The following is a 25453-nucleotide window of genomic DNA, read 5'->3' as shown; positions in this document are numbered from 1 at the left end:
TTATTTTTACTTTTTAAACTTTTGTTGTTGTTGTTGTTAGTTAAGATACAAACACAGTGGCCTGGGCCTACCTGGAGTCGGGAGCATCTGTATCACTGTCTTCCACCTCCACACCTTTCTCACTGGAAGGCCTTCACGGGCAGTAACACGCGTGGAGCTGTCACCTCCTGTGACAATGATGCCTTCTTCTGGATGCCGCCTGAAGGACCTGCCTGAGGCTGTTGTACAGTTACTTTTTTAAATAAGTAAGATGAGTACTCTAAAAATCACGATGAAATGTCTAGTATAGTAAATAACCTAAAGCAGTAACATGGTCATTGATGAGAATATCAGGTATTCTGTACTGTACATAATTGTATGTGCTGGACTCTTCCACGACTGGCAGTGCAGTAGGTTTGTCAATGCCACATCACCGCAGACACGGGAGTCATGCGCTGAGCCACGGCGCTGTGACAGCTGCTGTGATAGGAAGTGTTCAGCTCCACTAGAATCTTGTAGGACCACATTGTATATGTGACCTGTTGTGGATGGAAACGCCATGCTGTGCATAACTGGAAACCGGCAGGAACCTGTCACATGGTACAAACAACATGGGTTTCACAGGAAAGCCACGGGAAGGCTCTGTTGTGCACTCTCCATCAGTATAACTTTGTGAATTTGCCGTAACATTTCCATTTTCCCAAAATTCAGCTTTAGCTGCAGCTGTCAGGTTCCTCGTAGGAAACAGATGGCACATTTGACCAGAGAACAGAAGAGAGTTACGTAAAGGAACCATTGATAAAGAGCAGGGCAGGGTTGAGGGAAGCAACAGGATGGTGAGACACCCAGGCCATCCACAGTGGGAAACTGGCAGTTGAGGGCGGGGGCACTGGGTTTTGGAGTCCAGAGCTGCTGCTGCTGCTGCTATGGAAGAGGCTGTCCAGCATCAGATGGAGCCCGAGGGGGATGGGGAACCCGCATGCAGGGAACCAGCAGAACAATCATCCACCCAGCTGTGCTTGAAGTCAGAGGGCAGTAGAGCCCCTCGGATGCAAGGAGCCAGCCTCTGGGCACAGAGCACCTTGGAGGAATGGTAGAGAGGAGATCTAAAGGGCCAGGTGGAAAACAGCCCCAGACTGTCCACCCAGAGAATGCAGAGGACGGTCGGCATTCACCGTTGTTCCCTGTCCAGAATGAAAACGTGCATCCCTACGTGAAACAGGGGCAGCCACCATGTCATTGTGCGGTGATGACCATTCATAGTCTTGAGTTGGTCACTGCAGGTGTTTTTCATATAAAGTAGAGGGAGAAAGAAACAACCTGCCACAGAATTCCTGGAGTCCCCGCTTCTGTGGTGAGTTCGGAGACCCAAGTTCACTTTGGTAGCTTCCTTGGTTCCCACAGCCTCCTCCCCTCTGCCAGCAGCTCAGCTCCATGTGGTCCTTACCTGGTGCAGCATCCTGAGCCTGTGTGCTGTGGGTTGGAGCCTTGGGGGCTCCCTCTGTGGTAGCTGCCTATCTCTGTTCAGAATAAGATTTATCACAGTGAATGAGGACAGATACGCAGACAGATCAATACAAAAAAAGACATGTTGGACTCTGGAGAAATCCATGCACAGGCTCTTCCTCCTGTGAGGGACACTGACACATTGATTGAGCAACTTTCTCAAGCAGTGAAAAATACAGTAACATATGGGCAGTATTTCTGCCTGGAAAGCCCTTTAGACACTCACTGCCCGTAATTTTTACTGGGGGCTGGTCACGTAGGAATCCTCTGCTTCGCAACTACTCAGGTTCCAGACTCCCAGAAAGAAGGCAGGTGTTCTCCATAACTCCCATCGTACCCTGGTAGGGCTGAGTTTGCTGCCCAGCCTCATTAGCATGGGGCACTTTTTAGAAGCTGAGTTTCCAGAAGCCAACCAAGGGCCAGCCTCGCAAGGAGGCCCTGCCACAGACAGCAGCATAGGCCTGCTCTGTGTGTGGCGAAGGAAAGGCTTTCTGAGAGCGCAAGAGCTGTGCTTTTGGCAGAAAAACTTCAGGCAGGGGAGGCAAATCCGAACCTAGGAGATGTGGTTTTTTACCTTGGGCAGAGCCTGGGATTTTAACAGGACTGAGGTTTTGTAAGAGAGGGGCAAGGGAACTGAGCACAGACAAAATCGCATGTGAGTAGTGGTGAACCATGACGCTTAGTCTGGGTAAGGAGGAAAGTGAAGGAGGGAGGGGTGAGGGGACTGAAATGACAAAGTGGATGAGAGGCCAAAGGCACACCCTCTTGGAAGAGAAAGTCGGGAACAAAGGTTGAATATAGAATCAAATCACCTGCGCTTCTGCCACCACAGTGCCAGGATTAACAGTTGAATGCAGGTTCTTCCAGTCTTTAAATATTTGTGTGTGCATATATTTCTAAATATATCTTGTGTGTATTTTTGTATTCTACTTCCAATATTTTGAGCATGTTCCTGTTTTGTTAAACATTTTAAAATTTGATTTTTTCATGGCTCCCCATATATGCTGCACTTACCATTGATTGAGATGCAAATCAGGGCTTGGCAAACTGTTTGGCCTGTGGGCCAGATCCAGCCGTCAGCTGCTAAGAATGATCCTTAACGTTTTTAAAGGATTGGAAGGAAAAGGAAGGATTATGTGATGGAAACTGTATATAGCTCTCAAAGCCTGGTATTTGCTATCCGGCCATTTACAGAAAAAGTTTTGACTTCTCCGACACTACATAATCTGCATAATTTACTGTTTCTTTAAAATAGATCTCTTGGATTATTTCAGTTTCTTCATGTTCATAATACAGTAAAGAGCATGTAGTACCCCTTCTTGTTCAATTTCAGGTTACTTAAGGTATAAAAGTGGTCAGAGTATATGAACGCATTTTACAGCTATTGAGTTTTTGCAAAATGATTCTCCGGAATATGTGTACCAGTATTCATACTTGGACCTGGTTCTCTGAATTTCCCTATAAAGAATATAATTAAACAAAATGCAAACAAAAACTTTCGATTCTGATACCCATACAAGTATTTGTTTTACTTTGCATTTTATAAACACTAAACTTCAATTTATATTTTTATTGGCTATTTATTTGCTCTTTGTGAATTTTCCCTTCATATTTATTAACTTTTTCGAAGAACCTGGTTTTTGTTTTGATGATTTATCCAGTTGTTTTCTGTTTTATTGATGTATACCCTAGTTTTATTATTTTTTCTCTGCTTTCTTTAGGCTTCACTTGTTCTTTTTCTATAGATTCCTAAGCTTATTGACTTTAGATCTTTTTTCTTTTCTAATATAGTCAGCCCTTTGTATCCCTGGGTTCCGCATCCTTGGATTCAACCAACCTTGGATCAAAAATATTTGGGAAAAAAGCCAATAAAAATAACACAGCAATAAAAAAATAATAAAAATGTAAAAATACAGTATAACAACTATTTATATAGCATTTACATTGTATTAGATATTATAATACTATATTATTGTATTACATTGCATTAGGTATTATACATACTCTAGAGATGATTTAAAGCAGGGGTGTCCAATCTTTTGGCTTCCCTGGGCCACATTGGAAGAAGAAGAATTGTCTTGGACCACACATAAAATAACACTGACGATAGCTGATGAGTTAAAAAAAAAAAAAGGCAAAAAAACTCACAATGTTTTAAGAAAGTTTATGAATTTATGTTGGGCTGCATTCAAAGCTGCCCTGGGCTGAATACAGCCATGGGTTGGACAAGCTTCATTTAAAGTGTGTGGGGAGTGTGTGCATAGTTTATATGCAAATACTGTATGATTTTATGTAAGGGACTTGAGCATCCTCAGATTTTGGTATTAGTGGTGGTCTGGGAAGGAAGCCCTGGACAACAGAAGAATGGTTGCATATGCATCAGTGCTGTCAGTTTCCCTGTAGGTGCTGCTTTTGCTGTATCACACAAATGTGGATAAGTTGTATTTTTATTTTCGTTCAAAATGTTTTAAAAAATATTTTGAGACTTTTTCTTTGACCCACATGTTATTTAGAAGTGTGTTGTTTAATCTCCAGGCATGTAGGGATTTTCTAGGTATCTTTCTGTTGTTGATTTCTAGTTTAATTCTCTTGTGGTCTGAGAATACACTGTGTATGATTTCTCTCCATTTACATTTATTAAGGTTTTCTATGGCCAGTGTTTCCTATCTTGATTAGTGTTCCAATTCAGCTTGAGAAGAGTGTAGATTCTGCTGTTGCTGGAGTGTTGTATAAATGTCAGATCGAGCCGATTGACGGTGGTATTCAAGTCATCGGTATCCTTACTGATTTTCTCTCTGCTGGGTCCATCGGTTACTCAGAGTTGGGGTCATCGGTATCTTTACTGATTTTCCCTCTGCTGGATCTGTTGGTTACTCAGAGTTGGGGTCATCGGTCTCCTTACGGATTTTCTCTCTGCTGGATCTGTCGGTTACTGAGAGTTGGGTTTAAATTTCCAACAGCGCTGGATTTGTCTATTTCTCCCTTGGGTTCTATTAGTTTTTGCATCATATATTTTGAGGTACTGTTGTTAGGTACATAGTTTATTATCTTAGGTTATTATCTTCTTGAAGAATTGGCCGCTTTATCGTTATGTAATGCCCCTCTTTTTCGCTGATGTTTGTCCTTGTTTGAAGTCAGCTCTATCTGAATTTAATATAGCCACTGCAGCTTTCAATTAGTGTGGGCATGGTGTGTCTTTTTTCCTCTTCTATCTCGAGTCTTTAGTTTTCTTGTAGATAGTAAGTAGTAATTGGGTCTTGTGTTTTAATCTACTCTGACAGTCTCTGTCTTTTAATTGCTGTATTTGGACCATTCATGTTAGAAGTGAGCGTGAAGATAATCAAGTTCCATTTTACCATGCTTTTCCCTGTTTTCTGTTTGCTGCATTTGTTGTTTCTCCCTGCCTCTTTTTCTGCCTTCTCTGGATTTCATTGAGCATTTTATAAGATTCTCTTTTATCTTTTCCCTTAACATCTTGATTGTACTTTAAAAAAATGTTTGTAGTGGTTGCTGTGGAGTTTCCAGTATACATTTACAACCCATCTAGGTCTACTTCGTGATGGTGCTGCTGCTCCATGGGGCTGCAGGTACCGACGGCACAGTCTTCTTGGCTCCTCCTGCTGTCACTGTGACATGGCTGCCATTCCTTCCACTTTTTTTTTTCTTTGAGACAGGGTCTTGCTCTGTTGCCCATCGCCCAGGCTGCAGTGGCATGATCTTGGCTCACTGCAGCCTCCCCTTCCTGGGTTCCAGCAGTTCTTATGTATCAGCCTCCCAAGTAGCTGATACTACAGGCGTGCACCACCACACCTGGCTAATTTTTGTATTTTTAGTAGGAATGGGGTTTTGCCATGTTGCCCACCTAGTCACAAACTCCTAATCTCAAGTGATCTGCCTGCCCTGGCCTCCCAAAGTGCTGAGATTACAGACATGAGTCGCCGCACCCGGCCTCTTCCACTTTTTATAAGCTATAAAATCACTCAATTCATTGTTGCTGTTAGTCCAGGAAAGGCCATTGATTTTCAGTTTTTTCTTATTGGAAGGATGGAAATTACAGCTTCCAGCCTTCACCCTTTGGAGCTGAAGCTGGAAGTTCCCTCTTTGTTTTTTAAAACTCTGTTAACATTTTGGACTAGATGCCTATATTTGTGTGTGTGTTTGTAAATTTACCTAAATGATATACTCTATTATTCAAAACTTTGCTTTAAAAAACCTCCACCTTCTCTTTAAACTGCTCTATTGCAGCGGTCCCAAACCTTTTTGGCACCAGGGACCGGTTTCATGGAAGGCAGTTTTTACACAGACTGGGGCGGGGATGGGTGGATGGTTTCAGCATGATTCAAGTGCGTTACATTTATTGGGTACTTTATTTCTCTTATTATTACATTCTTATATATAATGAAATAATTCTACAACTCACCATGATGTAAAATCAGTGGGAGCCCTGAGCTTGTTTTCCTGCAACTAGATGGTCCCATCTGGGGGTGATGGGAGACAGTGACAGATCATCAGGCATTAGATTCTCATAAGGAGTGTGCAAACTAGATCCCTTGTATGCACAGTTCACAATAGGGTTTGTGCTCCTGTGAGAATCTCATGCTGCCCTGGTCTGACAGCAGGTGGAGCTCAGGCAGTAATGCGAGCAGGGGAATCGGCTATAAATACAGATGAAGCTTCACTGGCTTGCTTGCTCACCTCCTGCTGTGTGGCCAGGTTCCTAACAGGTTGCAGAGGTTTGTGGCCCGGAGGCTGGGGACAGGACCCTGCTGAACCGTGTTTTGCTGTTATGTCTGAAATCTCATAGTTAACAGTAGATGTCAACACAGCGTCTGGAAGGTGTTTCGGAAATAATTTGTCTGTTCCACAGCACTTCTGTGGGGCGGGACTCCCTCATTTTACAAGGAGGAGACCATGACTCGAGAGCTCGAGCCTGCCAAGGTTGTGTGACTGTGTGGGGCATCTCACCTCTCGGGCTGCAGGAGCTAGAGCTGCTGCTCTCTGCATCCTCTGTGTGGTCCTGTGCCCTGGGCCATCTTGCCTTCCCTCCTGCCGTCTGTTCAGGCTTGAATCCTGGTGGAACCTTTGACTCCTCTGTCAACCATAATCCTAGCTTGAACCCTCCTTTTTCCCTGCTGACCCCCTTATCCTCCCCAAAGTCACACCCTGCAGGTCAGTGTGCCACTTTCAGTGACTTCTCTCCCTTGTCTCTAACACTGCTGCTCCCCTTGGTGTGTAATCCCCTGGTTCTTGGTCTCTGCTCCTCTGCCTCTTTATTTCTTCATCCCACTCCCACCAGGTTTATTTTTTTAAAAAGTCACAGTGACCCTGTTTTCTCTTTACTTGAATCTTTGAGTGGCCTATCTTCATTTAGTCATAGGTCTGAATTTCCTTTCCCAGAATTAATTCAGAATCCCAGTCTGCCCTGGTTCTGCGTCTTCTACCAGGATACCAGGCAATCTGCCAGGCCCTTCTTCCACCACCACCTGCCCAGTAGTTACCTAGAAATCCTAGCAGTCTTTAAAGCTTGGACGTAATCACCCTTTTTTCTCCCTGACACCTTCCCTTAACTCTTGTAGGCTGTTACTTATATGAATGTATATGGTATCCTTGTTTGTTAGTATTAGCTACTGCTGGGCATCATATGACATCTAACAAACTTACGGAGACAAGGGATTGTGTCTGACTTGACCTCCCTGTGGTAACAGTGTCATTTTCTAAACACAGTGTGAAATGTGTGTTGGTTCGATTCTGCACCATTCATGTAGTTATTTAGTTATGTGCTTATCGGAGCATAGAGAAGGATCCTGTAATTCCCCCATAGTGTATCAATTATAGCATTCCGTTGTTTTAATCTAGCTCACTATGAATGGCTTTGTCCTTTTTTCTCCTGGTATTTTGCCTTTCTTCCTCCCCAAAGATGTTTCATAAGTTTACAATATCAATTGTGTTTATTTTCATTTGAGTACCATTTCTCAATTGAGGGACTCAAGTGATAATTATGACCAATTTTCTAACATAATTATTGTAAACATGCCGCTTACCAGTGACATTCATTTTATCCATAACCTGACCAAATTATTGGTTTAGAACATTTCTGCACCATCTCAGTTACGTGTTGCCAGTGTCTAATTATGTGTATGTGTATAGCTATGCTTGTGCTGAGAGGCAGTAATTGTATTTTTCAGTCTTGTTCATATCCACATCCCTAACTGACTGGCGCCTGCTTGGGCTGGTTTCAGTCCAGTCAGGACCTCCGAGGACACGTCAGGCCTCCAGCTGTGCAAGCTCCTCTCAGACCATCCCTGCTTCTCCAGAGCCCAGACCTTCACACCCACCTTCTTTTTGCTTAATTGCCAAGATTTTTACATGACTCCTGGAGCACGTCTTTTTAACATGAAATTTCAGTGCTACAGAAACTGTAGCATGTGAGTTTGGTTTCAGAAGTACAGTGTTTCAGATAGAACTTTGCAATTCAGGAGAAACTGAAAAATAGGGTTTGGAAATGTTATAGGACAAAGTGTTGACATTCAGTTAATTGGGAAACAGCTTGAGTCATAAAACACTATTTACAATTTTATTCTTTTTTCTGTGTTCCTGCCTTACTCTTGTTTTAAAATACGTGTCCCAGCACCTCATATTGTAACCAAGCTCTAGTATATTTTATATTCTTCTTTAGACAGTGACTTATGATATTAAAAGGATATATTATCCTCAATCAGTTTTGAATTCTTCTTAATGAAACTAAGTGCTTTGTGAAGAGAATATTTTCTTTCACTGCCTTTTGCTTCCTGAGTCATAAAATGATTCCTTGTATCTTTATTTCTTACTTAAATCTAGGAGTTTACTGGAGATATACCATGGACTCTTCCTAGTAGTCATCATTAAGCTCATAGTAATAAATTGAAAGGGTAGTTTGGTTAGGTATAAATAAATTGTAGAATCATTGCAACAGATTCTTTTTTTAATCTTCAAAAATAGTTTGAAGCCTACTTGTTAAAAGATTTTCCGGGACTACATGTAATGTTGCCAAATTAAGCATAGATGGCGCTGTTGCTCTCTATACTACACATGGTCCAGGCCACTGATTGCTTTCGCATTTTCTAGCATTTTCTTAGGTTTTTCAAACTGTAAAGAGAACCATGTCACCTCCCTACATTGATATTTGTTAACATTTAAAATATGAACTTCATTTTTAGTTGGAATTTCTTATTGTGAGATCACTTCAAAAATTATCCTTATATTTGTGTTAACAGTAAGAAGATACGTACTTGTAGATTATTGACACATGCATGGAAGTGTTTAGATAGAATGCATAAGGAAAGCTAGCAGCAGTTTCCTCTGGAGAGGGAACTTGTAGTCTTACAATTAATGCAGTCTTACAAAATACAGCAACTTTATGCCCTTCACAAACTTTCTGTTTTGCTTGCTTGAGTTTTTAAAAAATATTTGCATATCTTTTGGCAAGTAAAACCAACTTAATAGTAAAACTAAGAAAACGATCTTATCTGTAAGTATGTACATTACAGCCATTTGCCTACCCATGTGGAAACGCACATAAATACACTTAGGAAAGCAAACGATCATTGTTATCCTGGCAGCAGTTTCTTGGAGGGGCATTTGCATTATTGGATCACTAACCGTGTATGAGCGACGCGGTTTTTACTAGGACGCTCCTGACGCTATACCTACCGTCCACTCATCTTCAGCTTGCCGCAGGTTCGCAGCTCTGTGGCTGTCTGTGGAAGCATGATTCATGGATCCCGTGAGCCTTGGGTTCTGGTCAGGTTGTTCTGTTTGTGGGAGAGCCTACCTGGGTACTGTGGGGAACAGGCCGTGGGTTTGCTCAGTGGGCCTGGACTGTCTCACAAAGTCTGGCCGAGAGCCAGATACACTCACATAATTTCCATTTGAGCCATTACAAATGAGAAACGTCTCCTGCTTTTATAACTCAGTAATGGGAATGTGACTGTTGAAAATAATTATTTTCTTTGTTTTGAGCCCTTAAGAAAAGAGACTTTATTTTAATGTTTTTTTTTCCAAAAGCTGAAAAAATGCTTTTTAAAAATCTTTAAGTATAGTGGTTATATTCAGACTATATTTAATTTAAAATAAGCAAATTGTAACAAAGTATAAATATTTTAACATTCAGCAAAATGAAATGATAAAGCTAAGAGACTATCCTATGATTTGTATATTTATTGGTGCCAAGAAAAGTGGAGAATTAGACCTTTTACAAGCCGTGGTACAACAGACCATCCTATGTTGGCCTCAGCATACAGAACAGAGCAGTAAGACGCTGGCTGCAACCCCAGAGGGACTGAAGCTACTCACCGTTCCTGCCCCAAGATCCACTCATCTGGAAAATTGTTAATGGGGGCATGCTTTGTGTGTAGCACTGTCATGTAACCATTTGCTTCTAGCTTTTTGTTCCTGCTATTCCTGTGTTTAAAGCACACTTTGCCTCCTTTTTCTATGTCTCCAAAACAGCATCCATTCCCAGAAGGTCGTCCTATGTAGGTACTGAGGCTTTTAAAAGATGCTACCTCAGGTTCTGAGAGTAATATTAAAAAGCAGCTCCAGATCGACCATGTGGTCTTTGGGAGGAAGGCTTTGCTGCTGGGATGATTGCTTGGCAACGAATAGCATTTATTGGGATATATAGATTTTTTATATGGATGTTTAAAAAAAATCGGACTTACACTTCTTTTATTGTATTTATTTTGATGGTTTGGTGTGATCCACATGTGTCTTATTTTTTAGGGTTCAGGATAAGTTTGAGGTGCTGAATTACACAAGCATTCCTATCTTTCTCCCGGAAGTCACCATTGGAGCTCATCAGACTGACCGTGTCTTACATCAGTTCAGAGAGGTAAGACTGTGGAAATGGAGAAAGCTGGCCAGTGGATGAGTCTGCAGCACCTGGGGACAATGCAGTCACTTCTCCAGAAAGGAGTTTTTGTTGTTGCTGTGTTTTGTTTGTTTTAGTGAAGGAGCCTCTTTTTCATTGAAATAATTCTCCCTTTTCCCCGTATTTCTGTGTGGAAAGCTGATGAAGTCCTCAGATGACAGCCCCAGAGCAGAGATGTTCTTCTGGAAGGTTCTTCATCAGGCATATTATCTTGATAGGAGAACACTCTGTTCATCAGCTGTTATGTCAGTTTCTTTACTGTCAGATGTTACTTCTGGTATTTTCTTACTCTTTGTCTGTAAATAATGAGGGTTCCATTTCTGCAGAAGGCCCTTAGGCCATATGGGAGGACATAGGGAGGGCAGGCAGAGCTTGGGACAGACAGCGAGGGTGGAAGTTGGTAGGGGCAACTGTGTCATTGATCTTCTTATCCAATTGCCATACCTTCTTAGTGAGTTATTTGTTCTGGCAAGATTCCATTAGGTTCGAGGCGTGTGTAAGTTTCGCTGGGAACCAGCGGGTGAGTTGCAGCCTGCACTGCAAATCCCAATGTCAGTGGACTGGGAAGAGCACGATCCATATCCGCGGCAGTGGTGGCTGTGGTTTGTTATGGGTAAAAGTGAAATAGTTGTATTAAATCAGAACTCCAAGCTATGCCTTCAACATGTAGATGAGTTGAAATCTAAATCTTTTTGCATTACTATAATTGTCTGAGTTGATATGAGCAAATTGCCTGAAGCACCCACTGAAAGTCTGAGTAGATCCCCTTGCTTGCTTTCTTACTCTACTTGGCATTTTCTTTTAAGTAAATTTTTTGGATTGTTTTGGAAGTGGTTTTATTCAGTGTGAGGATTTGGGGAAAACACATAAAACCATAAAGATATCTCTCAGAGGCACCTGCGGTTAATAATCTGTGTTCACCTCCTTCTGTCTTTGTACACGTGTGTGAGTGTGTGTGCTGTTTCTCCCTTTGTCCTTGTATACTTGTGTGAGTGCGCGTGCTGTTTCTCCCTTATCTGTCCTTGTACACGTGTGTGAGTGTGTGCTGTTTCTCCCTTTCTGTCCTTGTACACTTGTGTGTGTGTGCTGTTTCTCCCTTTCTGTCCTTGTACACGTGTGTGAGTGTGTGTGCTGTGTCTCCCTTTCTGTCCTTGTACACGTGTGTGAGTGTGTGTGCTGTGTCTCCCTTTCTGTCCTTGTACACGTGTGTGAGTGCATGTGCTGTTTCTCCCTCTTTGAGTGGGGCTCTGCGGATTTGCTGCTTCCCTGGCATCAACGCTGTAGCTGGTGCTTTGCTTGCTGCTCTTGTGTAGGCCAGAAAACCCACACTTGGTGTTCGTTCCCTGTCTCTGCTTTTGTGAGTGGCCAGGTCCTGTTGCGTCTGTTTCACAAGTGGCTTCGCTTCTTCCTGTTGACCTCCAGGCTGCCATCATTCCCACCTGAGCTTGTTCGGCGGCTTCCTCTTGGTCTCCTTGGGTTTAGTCTCTGCCCTCAGTCCTTCTCCAGTAAGGCAGAAGCAGCCGTGATCTCAATGCAGAACCCACCATCTCAGTCCTGTGCCTGAAGTCCTTCCTTTCCTGTAGGAGGTGTGTTAAAGTCTGCCACTCTTTGTGGATTTGTGCCCCCTTTCCGTTTTGTGAGATTTTGTCTCATGTATGTTTTAGGGCCGTATGATTAGATGCGTACCAATTTAGAATTGCCTTGTTAGGAGGGTCACCCTTTTCATGATGATGTTTTCCTCTTTACCTTTAGTGGTGCTTCTTACTGTAAAGTTTATTCAATATTTATGTAGCATCTGAAACTTTCTTTTGGTTAGTATATGCATGATGTAACTTTTTCTATGTCCTTTAATTTCAAGCTTTCTGTGTCTTTATATTCAATATGGATACCTTGTAATTTGCAGTTATTTTTAAATTTTTTATTCTGAATATTTAGGATATTTATCTGTTCACATTTAATGCAATTACTGATATATTTGTAAATAGTTATCTTACTGTTTTATATTTTTTCTACCTGTTCTATGTATTTTTTCTTCTTTTTTTTCTTTATTCCATTTACCCCACCTATTTCCCTACTACTAGTTATCATTCTTTTAATAGCTTTTTGTTACTAAACTGATAATTAAAATATTTATCTTTGGTTTAATGATGTTGAAGATCAATTAGCTTTCCAGTTCCAGAGCAGAGTACCCACTCGCATGTTTTGCATGATCTCGGTCGTCTTAATTCTCCATACGTGTTAGTCCCACAGGCATCTGCGACTGTTCGGAGCTGTGCTCGGCAGCTCTGCCTGCGCATTCGCCCCACGGCTGCCCACCCCTTCCCTGGGCGCTGCGCCTGCATGTAGCATCCTTGGCCTTCTGCCTGAAGAATTTTTTGCTAATACTAAATTCTCACACTTATTTTTTAAAATGGTCTTTATTTGATCATCATTTTTACCTATTTGTTTTTTTTTAGTTTGGGTAGTTTGGGATGTTCCAAACTAAAAAAAGAAAAATAACTTTTCCTGAACCATTTAAGGTAAGTTATTAACATGATGGTCTGTTATCTTCAAACTCTTGAATGTGATGGTTCGCCGAGTGTGGTCTCGGTGTCAGGATCATTTGAACTGCTGTTGGGAATGTAAGTTCTCAGGCTTCAGTCCAGGCCTCCTGGACTAGACACGCAGGGGATGGGGCCCAGACACGCATTCGAGCGAGTCCTCCTGTCGATGCACAGCGCCTGGTTTGAGAATCGTGGCTTGAATGTGTAATTCTCACAAACAAGGGTGTTCTCCTCCACAACCCCAGGACAGCTGTCAGAGTCAGGAAATGAGCATCACGCGTTACTGCTGTCCAGTCCACAGGCCCTCTTCATGAGCATCACACGTTACTGCTGTCCAATCCATAGGCCCTCTTCATGAGCAGTCATTTATCCTAGCCATGTTCTTCTGAGCAAGAATAGCCAATCCAGGGTGATGGCCTGCATTGAATTGTTTCCTCTGCTACATCTCTTTGAATCTGGATCAGTTCCTCAGGCTTTTCTTGGCATTCAAGACCTTGACATTTTTGAAGACTACAGAACAGTTACCTTGCTGAATATCCCTCAATGTGGTTTTGAGGGATATTTGGCATATGGTTCCCATTTGTCCCATCACTGCTTTTGTTACCTTTATTGCTTGTTAAGGTGGTGTCTTCACTATAAAGTTATCTTTTACTCTTAATATTTAGTCAGTATTTTGAGGGGGACATACTTTGAGAATATGTACATGTCCTCTTCCTCATCAAACTTTCACTCAGTAGTTTTAGCATCCATTGATTTTCTTGGCTAAATTATTACTATGATGATTGCCAAATTATAATTTTCTGTTTCTATCGTTCTTTCTGTATGACCAGGTAGTGTCCTACTAGAAGCAAGTAGTTTCCCTTCTCCCCATTTATTTATTCATTGATTTCCATATATCACTATGGACTCCCAGATTCCTGTTTATTCAGATACATCTATACTTGTTTCTGTGTTTCTATTTGTTGAAAACTGTGAATACACACCAGTGTCTTCAGTTCCAGTGCAACACATCAAGGTTCATTTTAGTGCTCTCGTGGTCCATATCCTTCTCAGATGATGAGAAAGCCAGCCCCTGTCATCTAAGTGTATTTACCTGCCGGAATCCCACGGGGCGTAGCTAGTCTCCTGTCTCTGCTACCATGGCGTCCCTAATCCCTGCCACCCAGGCAGGTGCAGGCAGGCATTCTCCAGTCCCGCAGAACAGCTTTCCATTTGAACTTGAAGGAAGGAAGGCTGTCTTCATTCCTGCAGGTTATTTTCATTGGGTATTGAGTTTTAAATTGCCAATATTTTCTTTCAGTGCTTCCAAACTTCACTGTTTTTTATACTTCTGGCTTTTGTGTTTCTAATGGTAGTTCCTCTTCGGAAGATATTTCTTATTTCTCTGGCAGGTTTTTTCCCCTTCTTTTTAAAAGAGATTTTTCTGACTTGGTTTTATGCATTTATACTCTCTGGGGTGTGTGTTGTGTAAGTAGGTGTGCATGTGCGTCTGTACTCACTTGGCCTGAGGTTCATAACACTCTTTGAGCCTTTGGCTGGTGTTCATTGTCTGTAGCACTTTTTTTTTTTTTTTTTTTTTTGAGACAGAATCTCACTCTTGTCACCCAGGCTGGAGTGCAGTGGTGTGATCTCAGCTCATTGCAACCTCTGCCTCCCAGGTTCAAGCGATTCTGCTGCCTCAGCCTCCCGAGTAGTTGGGACTACAGGCATGCGCCACCATGCCCAGCTAATTTTTTGTATTTTTAGTAGAGACAAGTTTTCACCATGTTGGCCAGGCTAGTCTCAAACTCCTGATCTCAGGTGATCTGCCTGCCTTGGCCTCCCAAAGTGTGTCTGTATCGCTCTTGCCACATTTTCTGTCTGCCTTGGCGTCCCACAGTGTGTCTGTATTACTCTTGCCATATTTTCTCTCTGCTCTCTTTCGGTTCCAGTTGGTCATATGTTGGACCTTTTCACCATGCACCATATTCTTCGTGTGTCTGCTCCTTTCTGTATATCTTGTCTTTTTTTTTTTTTTGAGTGTGCATCAGCCTAGATGTGTTCTTCTAAACTGCCTTTCAAGTTACTAATCATCCTTTCAGCTCGTTCTAATCTGTTGTTAGACCTGTATTTCTTATATTTGAGTTTTGAATTTTCATCCTGGTTTGTTTTTGATTCTAGAGTTTTCATTGTTATAATTTCAAGTTTACTGCTGATATTATTTTGTCATCTAATTTCTTAAACATATTCATCACAAAGTTACACAGAATTATCTGATAATTGCAGTATCTGTGTCTTTTGTAGGCCTGTGTGAGTGGTCTGGTCCCTAACGTTTGGTTTGGGGTTGTTTAATCTTGGCGTTTGGTGGCCTCATCATTGGTGTTTTGTTGTTTTCCAATGGCAGTCATTTTTTGTGGAGACTTTGCCTGGAGTCATCTCACCCTGGAGAGGATGCGCTTTACCGTCTTCTGGCAGGCATGGAGGTCAGGGCAGGTCCCCTGAGAGCGCTCAGGAAGCAAGCTGGTGACGCTGGGCTTCCGTTTTGTGAGGTCTGGAGTGTTTCTAGCTTGCGCTTACTGAGAGGCCATTTTTGCCAGGGTCCCTTCTTTTTGTTGGGTCCTGAACTGCATGTTTGGCCCCACAGTGCACTCCTGCTGCTGAAAGCTCTGCCGGGCTTCTCAGCCCCCCGGCTCTGCTGGTGGGACCAGGGAGCGCCTCAGGGACGGGAACGTGCAGCCCAGCTGTGTTTGCTTCTTCTCTGGACCTTGGCATCCAGGGCCCTCCCTGCCCTGTTGCCTTTACAGCCTGATGTTGCCTTTGTAGAATTCTTTTCTACATTGTCCCCTGTTTGGTTGTTCAGGAGGGGACAGATGTGTTAGCCGTTTTAACAGTTACATGGTGAGCTCACCTAGCAGTTTTTCAATCACTGTGTTTTATGTGGTTTTGTCTGCTTTTCAGTTTGTGAGCATTAAAGAGAATCTAAGAGAATATATGATATTGGGCTTGTGGTTTGAATTAAATGTTTAGAAATGTTAAAATTTTGAATCGTATTTAAATGACTGGGAAAATCCGATTTTTAAATTTCTAAGCATTTCAAAAAGTAAACTTGAATGTTTAGAACAGTTTTAGATTTACAGAAAAACCGTGACGGTAGTAGTGAGCTCTCATATCTCACATCCAGTTTCCATTTTATTAACTTCTTCTGTGAGTATGGTACACTTGTTATAATTAATGAATTAATAATACTTACTGGGTTTTTGTTTTTTGTTTTTTTTTTTTGGAAACCGATTGTCACTCTATCGCCCAGGCTGGAGTGCAATGGCATGATCTTGACTCACTGTAACCTCCACCTCCCGGGTTTAAGCGATTCTTGTGCCTCAGCCTCCTAAGTAGCTGGTATTATAGGTGCCTGCTACCATGCCCAGCTAATTTTTGTATTTTTAGTAGAGATGGGGTTGCACCATCATGGCCAGGCTGGTCTCAAACTCCTGACCTCAAGTGATCTGGCCACCTCAGCCTCCCAAAGTGCTGGGATTACAGGTGTGAGCCACCAAATTCGGCCCTTATTGTTAACTAAAGCCCACACTTTGAATTATTCAGATTACCTTAGTTTTTCCCTAATGTCCTTTTTCTGTTCCAATACCCCGTCTAGAATATCACATGACATTGGGTCCTCATGTCTCCTTAGGTACCTCTTGGTTGTAACATTTTCTCAGACTTTGTTTTTAATAAGGAGTGCTGGTGAGGTATTTTGTAGACTCTCCCTCAGTTGAGGGTTGCCCGATGTTTCTCTAGCGATTAGATTGGACTGTGTGTTTTGGGGAGGAATCCACAGAGGTGAAGCATCAGGGGCACTTGCTGTCAGTGCAGCCTGGCACCGTGGCCCTGACCGTGGGCTCCTGGCTGAGGTCGTGCTTGCTGGGTCTCCACTGGAAGCTGCTCTTCCTCTTTCCAGAAAGCCCCATGCACACCACAGCCTTTATGTTCCTTTGTTGAGTAAGAATTGTCTGACTGTTTAGAGGATTTTGTTTAAGGAAATTCGGTTGCTTGATATTAAAAAATGATCAGTTGAAATTAAATAGTAATAAATAATAATGACCATTTCTGGAAATTCATAGAATTCCTTTTGTCCATCAGAGACATCAGCAGCAGTTCTCATTGCATTTCCTTCTGGAAACAGCATTGTGGGGATACCTGGAGGTGAATGAACAAAGCCCCTCTGGGTTTCATGTGCAGCTGTTTCAGATCTGGGAAGGTTTGTGGCTTCTCACAAAAGGCTCTCTGCATGGGTTGCAGAGCTGCTTTCTAGATTGGCTTCTCTGGGTACTGGGGAAAGCTCCCTCCCCTCCGGTAGTCCCCTCCCTCCTGAGCCTGTGCTCAGGGGGCCCCTCAGGGAGCTTCATTCTGACCTGAGTGACTTCGGTAGAGCCCTTAGCAGACAAGGAAGCGAATACTGAAATGTCTTGTGTGAAGCCTTCTGTAACTCCTTGCACACACCCCTGAGAGAGTGCAGGCCTTCCCCAGGAGTAGGAGGAGATGGAGGGTTTTTATTTCTAACAAAAGGCCCCACCCTGGTGAGAGTGGCTTCCTTTTATCTGGCCACCCGACAGACAGCTTGTGCTAGCAGCAATTTCCATCAGATGCTGAGCGGAAAAAACAACTGTTGCTCTAAAAACACGTTAAAAATCAAACCCTAACTATAAAACCCATTTTCTCCAACTCTTTTCCTTCTTTTGAAAACAAATACTAATGGTGTAATAGGAAGGCAAATGTTCATGAAAATGTAGTTTCTCTTGGATCATTTGTGTTTCAGGTTGCCTTCATCTCATTTCTGTCTAGTTCAGCTGGAGACAACAGGCATAGCTAGAAAAATGGAAAGTGTATAGGAAGAGATAGGGCCTGGAGACAGGAATGTGTGCAGGTGGAGGTATGTCTGATCTCATCAGAACAGATGGAGAACATGCCAGAGCCCAAGGAGCCATCAGTCTCTGACACCTCAACTCGCAGAGGCCACCAGGCAAAGACAGTTGAAGTTGTTTTTAGTTGGGTCACAGTTAGAGGTTCTGAGGTTTAGCAAGAATTATTGTGATGTTTGAATTGCTAACAAAATTAAATGCTGTTTTCTATAATTACACGTTAGAAGAAACAGTAAATACAATCAAGACAAGAATCTTTTTAGAAAAGAGTTCAGGTTTTGCTTTATGAAAATTGCAAAAGACAAGTAACTAAAGAAAAGTAAAGTCGGCCTTTGTCAGAGGCGAGGTGAACAGAATTGTTTCGTCTAACCTTGTAGCTGGGGATCCCCTACCCGCAGCGGGCTGTGCAGAGTACAAGAGAGGGTCCTGAAGTGCTTCTCACTGGTCTTTGGAGGTGGGAAGACCTTCTCATCGGTCTTCAGGTACACGTGTCAGGTCACTGGTTTGCTGCAGGGGAGCAAACAGCATTTGAGGACATTCCACAGAACGTGTGACTATTAGAGCAGAAGGTAGTTGGCAGCCGGTTATTTCCTGGAGCAAGTGGAGGCCATGGATGCCTTTTCATGGCAGTGGTTCTTAGAAGCCCATTACCCTGCTAGGCAATTTCTCGCTTTCTGGGAGACTTTTTTTTTTTTAATGTTGAAAATATGTGTTTTAGCCAAATTCTGCCATTAACATGAGAATTTCTATAATCCCAATTAATTTTCTAAAAATAATAAAATTACTAAAACTATGCCTTATAATTTCATGAGAAACTTAAAATATACTTGCACTGTGCTTCTGTAAATAGGTGGTCTGTGTATTGTAACATGCCCAGGACGTTGCATGCATGTTTTATGATGGGTATTGTCCTTGTTGATACCTGGAGGTTAGGAGTTATTAGGTAGCACTTCTGATTCTTGGAAAACGAGTAATGCTTTGACCTTTATTCTTTAGATTAAGGATTATAGTCTTCGTTTTTCTTCCAGGATTTTCCTGATTTTTCTGACTTTAGTGTTTTTGTAGTTTTGTGAGATGGGTCTAGATTTGAATTTTTCTTTATGCCAGTGCTATTTGCATCTTGTTGGTAGGATCTTATTCCTTGTTGGTAATTCCCCCATTGCTTCTCTCTGTAGACATTTTAAACCTAGTTATTTTATGCTCTGTCTCTGGAGCGCTGCTCTGGACGCTGTCTGATCTTGTTCGTTGTTTCTTCTTTTTCTCACCCATGGTGGCTTCTTTTCTTGACTGTGTTGGAGACTTTGGGTACAGAGCTTCTGCCCTGTGGGGCTCCATCCATGGGCATTTGGTGAGAGTGGGTCCCTCCTGAGTCAGGTTGCCAGATGAAGTACAGGATGCCAAGGTAAGCTTGAACTGAGAGCAGCTAGTATTTTAGTATAAGTATGTCCCAAGGTTTTTAACCGGGTATCCTATATGATTTCTCAGTCCTGGCAGCCCTACTCCTGAAAGGACCCTTTGCTGCTGCCAGGCCTCAGATTCCTGAGGAGCAGGGAGGGATTGATGGCACCTTTGTTGCTTGTGGTATTCCAGGCCCTGGAGGTAATGCAAATTTCAACCCTCGAACCTGTGTGGAGAGAAGCTCTGGTTACGAATTCCCAGTGGAGAATGGTTTCACCACTGGGTGCCAGCTGGGGTCTCCTTGCTGGCAGGAGGCCTTCTCCCCGCACTGAGGTGTGGCCCTTCAGGAGTCACCTCACAGGGACACCAGGCCGTGTCTTGTGGCTCTCTGCAGCTCTTGGGCGTCCCGAGGGCACCGCGGCTTCAGCTCACCACTCTGGCTTTTCCACTCACTCTTCCTTCTTAGCCCTTTGTGATTTCTTGCGGAGCTCAGCTGTACATGTAGAAGCATTTCCAGAGGTTTTTATATCAAGAAGCTTTTCTGCATATTAGGGCTGCTGTTTTGCTAGAAATGGAAGGCTCCCCTATTTTTCTTTATAACTGGAAACCCTGTTTTGGTGCTGGTTCTTTCTGTAGCCATTCTGTGGAGGACCTGTCTGAATTAGAAAGTCTACATTTTATATACTCAATAGGTATTTACCCAATGAACAGTCCCCCAGAATGCAGAATTGATTAAATCCCCAACCCCGAAGGCACAGAAGGGAAACCTGGCTGATCAAAGAATTCTTGCCTTTTAATTTAATCTGAGTTCTATCCCAGAGATAGAGTCAGGCATCTTGGGAGTGCTAAGGTAGTAGGAATGACAGTTTATCCCAATACCTGCTGCCAAGCCTGACATTTCAGACCCCCTGCCCGACAGTGTCATCCCAGTGTCCTACCACTTCTGCACTTAGCCCTGATTAGATCTTTATCGTGCCAGGCACTGTTGTAAGCATTGGGGCCACACCCGAGAGTGAAGCCAAGCCCTGCCCTCATGCAGCTCACCTCCTAGTGGGCAGGGAGAACAGATGATAGACAGGTAACAGGGTGCCAGGGTCTTGGAGAAAGCACAGCGAGGAGGCTGCCATGTGGAGAGAGGTCTCAGGCACCTGACGCAGGGGACTGAGGGATGTGGGGGTGTAGGGGAGCAGGCGCCACAGGGGAGTGAGGGATGTGGGGGTGTAGGGGAGCAGGCACCCCCCGGAAGGCAGGAACAGGTGGACATGGTCTGGAGCTAGAGAAGAGCCCGTCATGGTGAGGTGTGATGCGGGTGGGGTGAGCTTGAGCAGGGAGTGAGCTGAAAAGGCAGCAGGCCAAGGTCAGCCGGGGTCCGCAGCTGCCACGGGGACCTCAGTTCAGCGGTACTCCTGGTGAGGTGGTGGCGTTGGTGCGCCAGAGAGTGGCATCATCTGGGTCTCAGGTTTAAAGGGTTGCTCTGCTTGCCACGTCGAGTATCAACTGTGGGGGCAAAGGCAGAGGGCCAAGGCGGTCAGGGAGGGTCCTGGTGGTGCAGGTGAGAGTGCTGGTGCTATGGGCGGGGGCGCTGAGAGTAGGCACTGTCTCTTTTCCCGAGAGCCCCCACTTAACAGGGGCATTGTTGCCCCTCCTTGCCCAGCCAAGTTGCTTCTTGCTTTTTAGGTTTTCAAAATTAAGCAGACTATTGCTGAAGGATTCCAGCAGAGGGAGTCAGGGAAGAGGTGCAGGGTGGGGAGCGGGCTGCTGAGGGCCTGGTGGTGGCCTTTCCTCACCGGACGGTGGAGCCCTGGGCCTCTGCTGTGTTGCCTCTCCTGCAGAGTTGTGTGTGTGACTGGAGGAGAGGGGTGGAGCCAGTTCAGCCAGCACTGGGGTCTAACTATAAAGCACAATAGAGACAGGTAGTGGCAGCTGGGTGGGGTGGGCTGTGGGGTGGGGTTCTAAGATAGGAATTTGCCGTTTGTAACAAAGGAACTTTGGTGTAAAGGCTTTAATTTAGGAATCCCAGGCATACTTCCTCATGGATCTTTTCCTGACCCTTATGTTTAATTTAATTTACTGATGGATGGATGAGCCCAGAAAGGGTTACACAGGAGCACACTTCTCAGGGAGTGGTGTGACGCTGGGGAGGCTCGCCCACCCTGTGTCTGAGCTAATTTCTGAAATCTGTTTGGAGCTTATATATTGAAACAAAGCCGTTATTCTAACTTTCACATGAAAAGAGCTCCATGTCTTTTAAGATACTTTTTTATTAGAGCTCAAGTTCTTTTATAAGCAGAAACTCCTTTTTTAGGTTTCTAAAAAGCATACAAACGGTGGGAAGACAGAATTCTTCCCCAAATCACCTACAGGTGGTTCGCCCACACCTATTTCAATAGACCTTATTTTAGCGACTCACCTTCATCAAATGGTTCCAAAGTGTTTCAGCCTAGTTTTAACAGAACAGCAGCTCTTCCTTTTCAGACGCGTAGTTTTCATAACATTTAATTAAATTTTGCAATTGCAATGACAAGTACAACTGGCGTCGCTGCTGGGAAACAGACCACTGACTCATACCACTTGGTGGGAGGGACAGAAGTGCCTGTGGGCCAGTGGGAGCAGGTCCTGCCACTTGGTGTCCTGTGTAGGCTGGCTTGTGAGTGATCCAATCGGGGTTGGTCAGAAGAGCTTTCTGCTGAAAGGAAGAAGAGCTGGTGAAGAGGACCAAGCTCGCCAGAGTATTAGGAGGCAGGCCAGACTGTGTGGGCCCTGGGCGCCAGCAGAGGAGCCTGTAGAGGAGCTTCAGTGTCTGTCAGAGGCCGCAGGAAGGTCAGGGGTGGTGAAGGTTGACCATGCCCAGGATACTGCGTTGATGACCAGGTCATAGGTGAACCTTGAGAGAAGTGTCAGGAGACTGGTGGGAATTAGAGATTCCATCTTCTATAGCTTGTTATTTTGTCTTGTTTTTAAGGGCTAAGGCATTCTCAGTGTGTTTATAGGCAAAAGGGTAAGTGCTTGTGGAAAGAGGGAAAAGATGCAAGAGAGGAATGGGACCGTTGATGGAGCAGGGATCCCAGAGGCAGGGGGGCCTCTTGGCTCCTCAGAGATCCCAGTTCACCAAGCAGGGATCCCAGAGGCAGGGAGGCCTCTCAGCTCATCAGAGATCCCAGTTCACCAAGCAGGCGTGGCCAGGCCAGATCACTGTTTGTTTCATAGGACCCCAACCTAGTCTGCTGAGGGGAGGCTGGAGGGGTGGGTGAGGGCTCTTTCCTCCCATGGGGAGACACTCTGTTGGATTGGCCATGTGTGGAGTGGAGGCACAGAACCTACATCCAGGGTGCTGCGAGCGTAGCTGAGAAAGCCAGCTGACCCATGCTGGGTGGTTGACCAGGCCCAGTGACCACGTTGGCCATTGTCATTGAAGCATCTCATTCCTTGATTAAAATCCACTGGTGCTCTTCACATCACAGGGCCAGTTCCAGACAGTAGATTACAGCCATTTGATGTGTCATATTTACGTTCTCCTAGCGTGAAAGCAGCAGTTTGTGTGCTTAACATTATAAATATACATGGTTGAACATCCTGGATGTGATGGCTAATGAGTCTCTCTGGAACAGATTGGTTTTGGAGATGTCTTGACTGGCCTTTAAGGGGCACGGTCGTCCAGCTGTGGAGCACTCGTGGAGTCAGATCTCCACACAGTGGTTCAGGTCCCTGTGAATCCTCTCACCTGCGTGAAGGGCCTGGCTGCCTCTTCTAGGTGTCTGGGAAGCCTGCTCTTTCCCATCAACTGCACCCTTAAATGGGGACTCCAGAAACAGGAGCAGTGTCAGGGGCGAGTTAGAGGGCCTAGCACGCCATACTCAGGGACAGTGGCGGGACGCTGGCAGGAGCAGTGGCAGCTCATGGGGCTCCGGATCCCAGGTGCCTGTGCTCGCCCACCTGCACCTGCCAATGGATGGGTGACTTTGAACAACACGAGAAGACGGCAGTTGGGGTCCAGTGGCCTTCGTTACTGTTAGGAAGAAGGTCCAGTTGCCCATTCTAGACTTGCTGTCTCTCTTGTCTGTGTTTCCTTATCCCTGAACCTGGCTTCCAGTCTGAGTTTAGGGAGATCTGCTTGGCGGGGGAAGGTTTCCCAGCTCTTCCTGTGGCTGGATGGAGTCAAAGGCACCAAGACCTGAGTCTGGGAGGGGTCCAGCCAACTCGTTTTTCTTCTTGGGGTTCTGTAATTTTTGCTTTGCTTGCCCTTGTGTAATTCTAAGAGGTGCACAGCTGCTGTTTGGGTTGCAGTTGTCTAAATCAGTGGTGCCCCAGAAGTTGCCAGTGTTCTGGGAGCTGCTCTTACTGAGAGAATCATGTCTTTTTACTGGAACTCCTTCCTAGGGCCACTCTGAGCGCTCTCAGCCTCTGCCACAGCTCATAGTTTCTGGCTCCGCATGGTGGAGTCGCCTCGCCTTCTGCTGTGGCTCCTCCTTGTCACTCTTCAGTACACTCAAGGCTGTTCAGCCTGTCGGCGGGAGCTCCACCTTCCCTGTGCATTCGTCTGGCCCCCATTTCACCGCACTCAGTGCCAGACACTGCACCAGGGCTGGAGACACAACCCAGTTTCCACACCCTGGAGACTCGGCAGAGACACGTGCGCAGATGATGCGATGGAATCCCAGAGGCTGTGGGGACCCGTGAGAGGGTAGGGATGTGCGGTAGGTTGCTGTGTCTGGGGTCTCAAGACTCGCACCTCACAGGATGGGTATGAGTTTGCCAAGTAGAGTCTTGGGGGGGGCAGTTGAGGGAGAAGGAGGATGGCTGTGAAGGCCGGAGGCTGCAGGGCATGGCCGGCAAGGGCCATGATGTGAAGGGAAAGGAGACAGAACAGGTGGGGAGGGTGGCGAGTGGGGCGAGATCGCACAGGGTCTCAGGGTGGACCGTGGAGCTTACTTTCCATCCTAAGCCACGTGGGGGTTACAGCAGGCATGAGATTAACCCGAGGAGTTCAAATATAGCAGAGTCAGAGGGCATTGCACATTGTTATGTAACCAAGCCTGGAATTGCAGTGTGAAGAACTTCTCATCAGCGTTGATGGGATGATTAAGAAAGGTGGTCAGAGATGTTGGAATTTGAACCAGAATTTAAGATTCATAGATACTGAGGATTTATGGGCTTTATTTAGAGTAACTTCTTGACTATTAGAAACCCTATCAGATAAATTTTAAAACAGAGACCCAGAGCTCAAGGTAGGACTACTAAATGGATGATGTGGAGTGATGGTTAAGATGACATTTTCCTGGCTGGTGCTGTGGCTTTGGTTGGGAACAGCGAGAGATACAGAACCGACGGTCTGGGATCCAGGAGGGTGGCTGGCAATAGGGAGGAAGTGTGGACGCTTGATCCAGGAGGCACTTAGGATTAATCTGGCAGCCATGGCCTGCGAGGTGGGGAGAGGCTGGTGGAAGGAAGGATTATGGGCTGGGGGCTGGAGTGTCATGGGCTGAATAGGACCTGACAAGAAGGGGAAAGAGCAGAGAGACTGAGGCTGAAGAGGGCACCACTTCTGCTGCTGATCGCAGTGGTAACAATACCAGGTCACCCCGAGCACCTTCTGTGTGCTGGGCACTATGCTGTTGCCACAAGAAGACACTATTATTCTTATTCCCATTTGCAAATGAGCAGTTTGACACAGTGGCTTTCTGAGGTCCTGCAGCTTCTGGGAGGGCAGGACTCACATTTGGGCAAGTGTGGCCGGGCGGCCATGCTGCTTCCCATTTCCCTGCTTCTTGCAGGGCCCCTGGGGTGAGCACCATGCACAGACTAAGGTGTGGGGGTTGTATTAGGCTGTTCTCGCATTGCTATAAATAAATGTCTGAGACTGGATAATTTATTTAAGAGGGTTTTATTGGCTCACGGTTCTGCAGGCTGTACAGGAAGCATAGCAACTTCTGCTTCTGGGGAGGCCTCAGGAAACTTACAATCATGGTAGACGGTAAAGGGGAAGCAGGTACATCCTAATAAGGCAGGAGCAAGAGAATGGGGCAGCAGAGTGTCACATATTTTTAAATGACCAGATCTTTGGTGGCAGAGTGTCACATATTTTTAAATGACCAGATCTTTGGTGGCGGAGTGTCACATATTTTTAAATGACCAGATCTTTGGTGGCGGAGTGTCTGTCACATATTTTTAAATGACCAGCTCTTTGGTGGCGGAGGAGTGTCACATGTTTTTAAATGACCAGCTCT

At 44.7% G+C, this 25453-nt stretch overlaps 1 protein-coding gene across 9 annotated transcripts in view; it reads left to right on the top strand.

Annotated features, from left to right (window-relative positions):
- Positions 1–25453, top strand: part of NDUFA10 (NADH:ubiquinone oxidoreductase subunit A10) — a 132901-nt gene that overhangs the window by 24915 nt on the left and 82533 nt on the right. For 5 of the 9 annotated variants that reach the window (NR_136157.2, NR_136155.2, NM_004544.4 and 2 more), the window contains one exon: positions 10246–10354. The exons of 3 other annotated variants lie outside the window; for them this stretch is intronic. Coding sequence is in view for 4 of the 6 variants with exons in the window: in NM_004544.4 (NP_004535.1) it covers positions 10246–10354 (109 nt within the window). In the remaining 2 variants the exon portion in view is untranslated. Of the gene's footprint in view, positions 1–40; positions 8201–10245; positions 10355–25453 lie in introns of those variants that run through there. One more of the 9 variants, XM_047444487.1, reaches the window with a different exon arrangement.

The sequence above is a fragment of the Homo sapiens genome, chromosome 2, assembly GCF_000001405.40.
Source record: "Homo sapiens chromosome 2, GRCh38.p14 Primary Assembly".
Taxonomy (NCBI): Eukaryota; Metazoa; Chordata; class Mammalia; order Primates; family Hominidae; genus Homo; species Homo sapiens.
The sequence above is the reverse complement of the archived record's forward strand: the minus strand, read 5'-3'. Positions and strand labels throughout refer to the sequence as shown.